Source organism: Homo sapiens, chromosome 2, assembly GCF_000001405.40.
Source record: "Homo sapiens chromosome 2, GRCh38.p14 Primary Assembly".
NCBI classification, from domain to species: Eukaryota; Metazoa; Chordata; class Mammalia; order Primates; family Hominidae; genus Homo; species Homo sapiens.
Window position 1 is genome coordinate 107,695,090 of NC_000002.12, and position 11,297 is coordinate 107,706,386.

The 11,297-nt window shown below is 36.1% G+C and overlaps 1 annotated feature.

The window, feature by feature from the left end:
- Nucleotides 9,840-10,038: a silencer, noted in NCBI's record as "fragment chr2:108321385-108321583 (GRCh37/hg19 assembly coordinates)". NCBI's record gives its function as "represses an EF-1alpha promoter that drives an FKBP-Casp9 reporter gene in an ReSE screen in K562 erythroleukemia cells {active_cell/tissue: K562}" and the evidence as "EXISTENCE:reporter gene assay evidence [ECO:0000049][PMID:32094911]".

Genomic DNA, 11,297 nt, shown 5'->3' on the forward strand with positions numbered 1-11,297 from the left:
TACAGGGATAGGCCCTAAACACGGGCAATTTTCTCTTGTCAGTCAGATACTTTGCTGATTGACCTCACTTTTGATTATATTTACTCTGATACCTTATCCCTGGGTTCTGCCTGTCAGGATATCTTAGTATTGGATTCTGGAGAATCTCAAGGGTGATTGAATTCCATAATCCAAAACCCAAGCTATTGCTGCCTGACTGAGCCGCTGCTTTCAGCCAGGCATACCGCTCTGTCTCTGGCCCCAGGGAGCGTATGGTCCCTGGCTGGGTCTCAGTATAATCCAAACCCCCTCCACCTGCTTAGTCAAGTTATGAATACCTTGCCATGATGAAAAATTTTGAAATATTTAAACACCAATCTTTCTCGAAGTTGGCTATTCTTTCTTCCAAATTCTGTTAAATCTAATAATCCACAAAGACACACCTAAATTGACAAAGATGAATGCCTTTCAAAGAAATGTAAAAATTATTTTGTAGTCTAAAATATATTTTCTCTATGCAGATAAAGCTCAAATAACCGAGGATTTATGTCACATCTTCTTTAAAAAGTGTGTTCTCATAAGATAGAGGCATATGCTGCACAGTGAAATGCCAGAATTGAGATTAATTAGCCCAGAAATCAATGCACAGAAGTGCACCTAAGATTCATACGTCCTCATGCCTTGAGCTAATGTAAAGTAGCATTACTCAAGGGAAAAATAATTTCCAAAAGAACTGAATATATGAAACTGTTATCCCATGACAGAAAGTTAATAGGCAAGCGGAAGGTGTTATTTGGTGGCTGTGACAAAGCAGTATGAGAGATTCTAAATTTTTAAGTGTTCTTTTTTTGTAAATTAACTTTACCCGTCAGAAATTTTTCCTGTAGAGGAGAGCTGAAGATCGGATGTCTCTCAAAATCAGAGAAAAAAATGAACCCAAAGGCAGCAGGGCTAGTTATGTCTGGCAATCACGAGGAACCTGAACAAGTTCAGTTTATTATTCACTAGGAAGTTAGGGAGTCACAGAATGAACAGATGTATAAATTTCTAGTACAAGATATTCAGCTTCTATTACATGAAAGCAGGCTGAAGATTTTAGGGTGTTTTTCTCAGAGGCCCCATAGTGCCAAAATGTAAACCAAGAGAAAACTCTAAATAAATTGCTTTGGGATTATTTTAGCTTTCATATTATAATTTAAGCCAACATTTGCGTGTCAAAATCTAGACACTCCCAACATTAATTGCAACTCAACCAAGCCACCCATCCAACATATATAACCTGGATCGAAGAGGGCATCACGAAAAAGTGCATGTAGTTATGTTCACAAACACTGTGAATCCTAAATCAGCTCTCCCCAGCCTATTCAGGACACTCATCACGGCTGCTCATTTATGATGCTTGCCATAAGGAGGAAGTGAGGTGCAGTAGAAAGAGCATGAGCTAAGTAGAGAGACCTGTGTATCCTTGAGCAAGTCACTTGACCTCTCTAAACATCAATTGCTTCGTTTGTAAATTAGAAACAAGATCTACTTTGAAGACTTGAGTGCATTTAGAAACACAGTGAGTGACAAAAAGTGAGCACTCAAAAATGCTTGTTTCCTCTGTCTTCTTCAAAATGCGTATGCAAAGGAATACTCTGACAGTGTCACTGAAAATTTCAAAATAGACCTTGCATCCTTTCAATAGCCTTCGTATGCTCTTATTGACCAGGGTCTGTTGTGTGTCATGGAGGAAAAACTTTTTCTCTACTCTGTTAGGTCAGCGTCTAGGGGCCTGTGAATTAAACTAGCAAAAGACAGATTCACAGGAGAAAAATCACACATTTAAAATTAATATTTATGTGCATGAGCATTCACAAAAAAGAAATAATACTCAAAAAGGCAGTTAAACTTGGGGGCCTGTATACTATTTTAATAAAAGAGGTTTGGACTTAAAGGGAAAATAAATTGTGGGGAAGTGACTAGGAAACACATAGGAAGACTAATGGAGGATAAGATTTATTTTAGCAAGGGGTGTTTATGCAAACTCACCTTCACAGCACCTCTCCATCTCTAATGATAAGAATTGTTCTCTTCCTGATGGGAGGGGAAGGGAGTGGGCATTTTTCAGATAGGGAAATTTATGCCCCACTTTCAGACACATAAAAGAAGGCTTTCATACCTCTTCTAGCATGTGCTGATTCTCAAATGCCTGCAGGTCAAAATAATCCTTATGCCAAAGTTCAAGAGTTAAATTGTATAGGTAACTTACTCAGAATAATAGAGAAAGATCCAGAAGAAACATTATTTGCAGCTGTATCCTAAAGACGTGGTGAGGTTTCTGATTTCTGGAAGGCATCTTGCAACTATGTTTAAGTACAATTCAAAGAATGCTTTTACAAGATCAGTTGTTCAGAATAATTGCTTAACCAAACAGAGGTTAAATAAACTTTCAGGTCAGCTTTTCTTAAAACAAAACTGATGTATATGTCTCTGGGATCTTGCCATGCATTTATTCATCATATTCACCATTATGCTATTCTGGGGTGGTCCTGCCAGGCTAGACCTCCCAGTAGTAATGAATATTAATGTTATTGTGGAATGAGGTGTAATCCTGCATGTATATGGAAAAATGCTTCCTATTTTTAAATTTGATTAACCCTTCAGTTAATCAAACAGATAGTTTCCATTTATTTCACTGAGAGGTAGTTTGCTGTAAAATCTTAAGGTTTTGAAAAATTATAAACAGGAGAAATTGCAACTCAGAAATTCTAGGATCCTGTATTCACCTGGGTCACAGGAAGAATCTAACCCACTAAACAACACTAAATAGAGTGAGACTTCCAGGAGACTGTTCCTTCGCAACATCCCCATTCCAGAACAATCTTGCAATCAATTGACACATACAGTATTTTTTTTACTATCAAGTGGGTTCCATGCCTTCTGCTATTTCCAGTTCATCAATGCAAGGTCATTAGTCTTTCCAAGCTATGACACTGGAGAATACGTGTTTCCAAATGGATCTTGGCATAAAGAATCTTTAAGGATTTGTCTCTGTAATCACTGCGATTCATTCTATTATTTCCTTTTTTTTTTAATACTATTTCCACTGATGGCCAGAAAAGAAAATTTCTAGGTTTAAAAACGAATTAATTCCTCATGTTTTGTTGTTTTAGAAGTCAGATGTTGCCTGAAGCCAGGCAGAGACGATAAGGTGTAAATTCAAAGTCTGATATACCTCCAAGTCTTTTGAGTGGACTCCAAATCAACATTATAGAGAATCAAAATGCTGCTACATCCCATAACTCTTGCTATTCCTGTTTCTGGCTTCTTCAGATTGAAGACCACCAGCCGCAATGAATTATGCTGAACTCCATGGTGGTTTTGTGACAGTAACATATGAAGACCAGAATGAGACCACAAAGTCCACTTGAAACTTGAAGTTAGATTTCAGGGCTTGATTTTTAGCAACATGTATGCCTAGCTGGATGCAGCAGTCTCCAGATGTATTTGACAGATATTGTATCCCTGCTTTTGCAATCCTTCAGCTTGTGGTGGTTATTTTTTTTCCCTAGAGCATCTCAAAATTGTAATTAGATTCCTTGTTGTTGATGGCATAAATGGGTTTCAAAAAGTGCTTGTAGCCTTGTTTAATTTCCTAATGAATAAAACCAACAGCACACGCTTAAGACAAAAGATCTTAATCATTTATTAAACATTTACCTGATATCCAAGTTTCTATTAAAATTGTTTTACTATTATTCATAGCTTTTGACAAACCAATAAATAAGAGACCCTTACCCCTGTTTCAGAAGTTCTTTGACTTGCAAACTCAAGTTATAGATTATAATCAGTAAAAGATGATTCATTCTCTTCATTTTCACACACACTCAAAACAGTATCTCTCACTCCTTGTCAGTCTCAAATGCAGGCTTAGTATGCCTACAGGTCATTCCTTGTCTTCTTGCAAACTTATTTTCTTTGACTCAGTGTTCCCAATGAGCGAGGAATGACCTTAATCTGTGATGGAAAACATGACACAGCAGGTATCACTCAGATGACTGAATATCTCTGAATATATAATATGCACGCAATGTCTACTACACAGGGATATAAAAAAGATTGCTAGACAGAAAGAAAGCTTCAAGCAGCAAAGCTTCAAACTTTTGATAGCAATTTTATAACGTCTTCACATCCCCTTAAAATTTAGACCAAACAATTAAAAGACTTTTTTTGGATTATTTACAGTCCATTATGAGCTGAAACCCCCCCTCTCCCCCAATGCATATGCAGAAACCCTAAACACCAATGTGACTGTATTTTGAAACAGACCCTATATGGAGGTAATTAAGGCCAAATAAGGCCCTAAGGGTGGGCCCCTAATTCCACAGGACTGGTGTCCTTATAAGAAGAGGAAGAGACACCAAGGATGTGCAGGCACAGAAGAAAGGCCACGTGAGGACACAGAGAGAAGGCAGCTGTCTACAGGCTGTGGAGTGGGACCTCAGGAAAAATCAAACCTGCTGGAACCTTGATCTTGGACTTCCAGCCTCCAGAACTGTGAGAAAATAAACTTCTGTTGTTTAAGATACTCTGTCTGTGTTTTTTTTTTTTATGGCAGCCTTACATAGTCCATGTAGGGGTTTCACAGATTTTTTAAAAAGTATTGAGTTTGGTTTATATATTTAAAAAGCTAACATAAGAACAATAAAACCTCTAGCTTGTGAATAATATTTTTTACTGTTAATGAACACAATAATTCCAGATTGATGATAATACTATAATGAGAAAACAGACTTTCAAATTCCTTTATGACATTGTTTTTAATACGAAGAGGCAGTGCTTTGAACATGTAAAATTCATAAACAAATCTCATTTATCTGCATGTACAGGATACAGCAATGGCAACCCTACATGAAGGTACCATTATCTCTCGTAATATCATCCAGTCCCCAGCTGTCATCTCCAGATGGCATTTCATGGAGCTGACACCATTCTGTATGGCTTTAAGATTAAGCTAGAAAAAGTTATAATTAAACATAACAAAAATTACTAATAGTCATCCTTTGAAAACAATGCCTGAAAAATGTGAAAAGCAATAAATCCCATTAAAGAGATGAGCATACAATCATAGAGAATTGAAGCCCAAAAGCAGTTCATGGATAGTCTAGGGAGCTTCATCTACATTGTGCAGCTCCATTCAAATGTAAATATTACACTGAAAGGACTTTCAATTTATCTTCCCACTTCCGTTACTTCAGAACAGAGAAATGAAGTCTCTGGTAGCCTAGAGGTTAGGTTAGGGGGGGAGGGGCAGATGACAAAGTTGGTTCATCACAAGGTAAGAGCTCATAGCAGAGAACTTTACTTATAAGGGAGACTCCTGAAAGGCAATCTGTTCAGGGAGTAAATTAGGAAAAAATACCCTGCTCTGAGAACCAGACTATAAGAAGACATTCCTATTTTGATCCTGACTCTGTATGGAGGAGAGAAAAAGAGAAAAAGAAAAAAGCCTTCTTTGACAACGTCAACCTCATATAAATACAAAAGCAAGATAAATACTACATATGTGGCTCTGTGTAACTCCAGTCAAAACTTAAGTTAAATAAATTTCAGGTTTGCAGTGCCTCTAGGTGGCTTTCAGAAGCAAATCATCTCTGTGATCTCTGACCATCTCTGATGACCCCTTTATCTGGTCCAAAGTAATTCCCATAAATGATGTATCAAAGGAAATAAGCTTATAAGAAAACCATAAAGCATTTGCAGAATAAAACATGATGGGCAAAAGTGAGAAAAATAACTCATTGGAGAATTACAGTCATTAATTTTGCAGACAGTAGAATTAACTTTTTCTTTTTTTTTGAGACAGAGTTTTGCTCTTGTTGCCCAGGCTGGAGAGCAATGGCTCGGTCTTGACTCACTGCAACCTCCGCCTTCTGGGTTCAAGCAATATCCTGCCTCTGCCTCCTGAGTAGCTGGGATTACAGGCACCCACCACCACACTGGGCCAATCTTTGTATTTTTAGTAGAGACGAGGTTTCACCATGTTGGTCAGGCTGGTCTCGAACTCCTGACCTAAGGCAATCTACCCACCTCCGCCCCCCAAGTGCTGGGATTACAACAGGTGTGAGCCACCCAGCCCACCAGAATTAACGTTTTTAAAATATAAATATTTAATATGTTTATTAACATAGGAAGATTATGAAAAGTATAATAGAAGCCAGAAATATTTGAAGAACAAAATAGAGCTTCTAGAAGATAAAAATTTTAATAAATGAAATTAAAAACACAATGGAAGAAAACTATAACAGATTTCAAATTGCACAAAAAAACTACTAAGCTTTAGAATATAAAGGAATATTACAGAATGCAGTGTAGAGAGACTAACTGGAAACATGGAGACAGGAAGTAACGGTCAAGAGAGATAGGGGCTTGGTGGAAGGAGCTAAGATATATCTAATAGGATTCCATAAAGTAAACATGGTGAGAATAGGAAAAAAAAATAATTAATGGGTGAGAATTTGCAGAATTGATAAGAGATTCCAATTCTCAGATTTAGAAAGTCCCCCGCTCAAACAAAACAACAAAAAGCTATCCCTAAACACATCACGCCAAAAGAACAATTAGTATGGCAACTGAGTTTTCAAAGCAGTAATGAATGCCATCAGTCAATGAAATAATATATATGAAGCAATGAGAAAAATTAACTGTCCATCTTGTATTGTATGTATGGAAAATCTATGTTTTATGAATTAATAGGAATCAAAAACATTCACAAATCAACAAAAACCTGAGGGATTTTATTTACAAAAGATGCTCATTAAATAAAATTCTAAAGTATATAGGTCAGGAAGAATGAAAATGATACTAGATGGGAGGTCTGAGATACACAGAAAAAAAAGCAAAGAAATGCTAAACTGATAAACATGGGTAAATCTGACATGCATTGACTATAAAACAATAACTGTGTTCAAATAATGGGGTTAAAAACAAAGCTGAAATAGAGTACTAGACATCAATAGTATACAGTTCGGGCAGACAGCAAGAATGAGTGATTCTGAAGTCTACTTGTTTCTCAAAAGAGGCGCAGGGATATTGCTACAATTATTAAAATTTATAAAGCAACTCACAAAAGAACAGAAGCAGAGAGTGCAACTTCCAAAGCAGCAAAGAGAAAAGAAATGTGAACAAAATGAAGCAGTCCTAAAAGTATGCTAGACATGAGAAATCATAGAGAAGATAGAAAACTACAGAAAAACAAGCTACAAAATAATGTGATGGAAATTTCATCTAAAAATCTTAGAAATTACATTAAATATTCTTTGACAAAATGTCTTTGTTAAAAAATACAGATTGTCAGGTGTACATTTTAAGTTTTCATGTTAATAAAAGGATAAAAATAGTCAAATCAAGTCTAAAATTAAGCAAAGGAAGATGATGTAGCTATGTTAATAGCAGATAAAACAGACTTTAATAAAATAAATTTAAGAAAAGATTTTCTGATAAAATTCCCCACAAATAGAAATATATGTAATGTTGAGAAAGCTACAAGGCAACTTTGTTATTCCACCATTTGACCGGAAGACATTCACACTTTCATGTCAATATCTAGAGGTTTTGTCAGACAAAAACTTGGTGGGGCACAGGAGATTGGGAGGACACTATTAACAAATATGGTTTAGCGTCTGGTAGAAATGCATAAGTTTCTTCATCCAATAATGGGAAATTGTATATCAACTTCAATTTAAAAATGGAATATAAATATGGATTCTACTACATTATGAAGCAAATCTAAGCACATGTTAAAGTTTTATTGTTATGCAGCCAGTGGCCTCTAAAATGAAAATAAATTAGAAATCTATTATAAAATATTTAAAATAAAGTAGTCTTTAACATTGGAAACTGTACTCCTTAATAATGTCAAGGGTAAGAAAATAAATCATAATGGAAATATAAAATACTCAGAAATACATATCAAGGTTTTAATAACCAGGCATAAACAGAACATATCCCCCAAAAAAAAGCAAATTAGAAAACTGTTGTGAATGTGACGAGTTAGACAAGAACTAATTGAAAGAACTTCCAAATTCTTAGATTGGAAGACTCAGTATCAAAAAGTGGTCAGTTTTCCCTAAAGATGTTTATAAATTTATTACCATCCCCCCAAAATGGCATTTTTTTTTCTGGTGCTAAAAACTTAACTGCAAACTTTCTCTGGACATGGGTGAACTCCTCTAGAATCCATGAGTGGGAAGAACTTGCTTAGTGATGACCTAAAATGCATGGAAAAGAGATTGTTAAATTTAATTTTACAGAAATAATTTTTAAAGTAAAGCCTTATTTTGTGTCAGGTAGGCTCTTTGGCACTTCAGAATCATTTTTTCCTCTAATTATCGCAGAAACCATAGAAGATAGGTTTAACATCCAAATTTTACAGAAGAGAAAGCTGAATCAACATCAGTTTACATAATGTCCCCAAAGTTCCATCCTAATAAACTGATAAAAGTTCATTCAACCCTCATGTAATTTTACCACAGTACCCATGTACTTAGCCAGTATACTCGTATGACTACCAATAATTTAAGAAATAGGCTAAACAGTAAAGAAGAGGACTGGAGAATTATATTACTCCAGAAGTAAAATTGCCTCGGAGCCTTCAGTAAAATATAGCACAGCAAAAATAATTTTTTCCTGCTTTATTTGTTTAAATAAACTGAAAATTATGGAAAGAAAAACCAAACAAAAAGATTACATAAAAAACAGAGTTTTAACCCCAATGTAATTAAAAGGTAGTACCCAAACTTAAGCACCACCAGTAAGCAAGGCTTGATTGCAATGAGGATGGGTACAGCGTTGAGGGAAGGAGGGTCTCCACACTGGCTCAGGCTCATTCAGACCTCTGATGGGGCAAACATTCTGCAAAGGTAGTTGTCATGCTCATAAGCAGCAATGCCTTGCAATGTTCTGGGGGCTCGAAGCTTTTGTGACTTTTCTCATCATTGCTGAGTAGTGGGATGATCAGATAGAGGTAGTAAATTAAAAAATAGAGAGCAAAAATGATTTAACAAGAAGCTGCGTACTGACTGGGGGTCCGGGGAAGAGAAAGAGTGGCAACCAACTTTGCAGCTGCTAATCTTAGTTGTCTGCCAAGATCTAAGGCTAAATCATCCAAAGAAAGAAATATCCCAAGAACCCTCCTGGGTAAGGAAGGTCAGAAAAAAATACAGCAAATGGTAAAGTCCAGCAATGACGTGCAGGCTGAAGAATTCAAGGAGAAGTGTACAAATGCCTGCAAGGCCCTTTGAAATGCATCTAAAAATAATATAGATTGATGATTGGAGAGAAGGATGAATACATTGATAGATACATAATAAAGCTAATAAAATGGTAACTGCAGACTCTAGCCAGTGGGTACACAGGTGTTCATTGTACAATTTTTTCAACTTTGATGTATGTTTCTACATTTATATAATAAAATGTACAATAAGGAACTGTGTCAAATAAGTCATTTCTTAAAAAAAAAAACAAAGGCAAAGCTGAAAATTATGTAGACACAATAAAAACTCAAACAACAGTCTGCCTCAGATCATCGTGCTGATCTTCCAAATTTCAGCAGGGATGGTTGGTTTTCCTGCAAACCTCGAAACAATCCAATTTAGTGACAAGTAATAATTAGAGCGTAGCCATTGTGCAACCTTTGCAAAGTTGTTGAAAATATAAAGAAAAGAGAGTAAACACAAGAAATAAGAAAAGAAGTGAAGAAAATCCACCAGTAAACAGTACTCTGAAGGAAATAAAATGTATAAAAACAATAAAAGCAAGCAACAAGACCATCATTTTCCATGAAAGCAAATATATTTAAATTAGTTTCTTTCAAACAGAAACTAAATATAAGATACGAGGGATCAATTAAGGAATTTTTTTTTCTTTTTTTTTTTTCTGAGACAGAGTATAGATAGCTCTGTAGCCAGGCTGGAGTCCAGGGGCATGATCTCCGCTCACTGCAACCTCCACCTCCCAGGTTCAAGTGATTATCCTGCCTCAGCCTCCTGAATAGCTGGGACTACAGACACGCGCCGCCACTTCCAGCTAATTTTCATTTTTTAGTAGAGACAGAGTTTCACCATGTTGGCCAGGATAGTCTCCATCTCCTGACCTCGGCCTCCCAAAGTTCTGGGATTACAGGCGGGAGCCACCGTGCCCGCCCTTTTGTTTTTTGTTTTAGTTTTTGTTTCAGTTTTGTTTTGTTTTGTTTTTTTTTTTTGAGACGGAGTTTTGCTCTTGTCGCCCAGGCTGGAATGCAATGGTGCAATCTCGGCTCATTGCAACCTCCGCCTCCTGGGTTCAAGCGATTCTCCTGCCTCAGCCTCCCGAGTAGCTGGGATTACAGGCGCCCGCCACCACACCTGGCTAATTTTTACATTTTTTAGTACAAATGGAGTTTCACCACGTTGGCCAGGCTGGTCACAAACTCCTGACCTCAAGTGATTTGCCCGCCTCGGCCTACCAAAGTGCTGGGATTACAGCCGTGACCCACCGCACCCAGTCAGGTTAAGGATTTAAAAAATATATATGAAGAGTAAACTAGCACAGATTAGGAAAGAAACAGAAGAGAAATATAAAATCATTCCATAATAAAAGTAATATTATAAGAGTCAATTAGGAGAATAAACTCTTGAAAACAGGTAAGATAGTTAACAAAGAAAAAAAGGCTTGAGAAAAATGTGCCTCATAAACTGGAAGAGGATCATAAAATATTACAGGATTGAAGATGGAGTGATTGTTCTAGAAGAGAGAGAAATGATATTTTAAAAACTCTAATAATAACTGTGGATGAACTAAAAACATAAATGGAAGAACAAACTTATTCCCACATATAATTAAAAAAAAATTCTATAAAAAAAAAAGATCCACATGTAGAAAATGCAGAATAGTTCAGGAAAAAAAAAATACAGAATTATCAACACTTACACATAACTTGGTGAAATAATGTTTGAAAATATAAAGACAAAGCCATGTCATCCTGAGATAATGTAATTAATTTTAGTCATATGGTTTCCATTAAAAAATTTATAAACGGGCTGGCTGCCGTGGCTCATTCCTGTAATCGTAGCACTTTGGGAGTCCAAAGCAGGAGGATCACTTGAGCCCAAGAGTTTGAGACCAGCAGAGGCAACATGGTGAAACCTCGTCTCTACAAAAAAAATATATATAGAGAGAGAGTATATATATATATACACATATATACACACACATATATATACACATATATACATATATACACATATATACATATATACATATATACACATATATACATATATAAACATATATACATA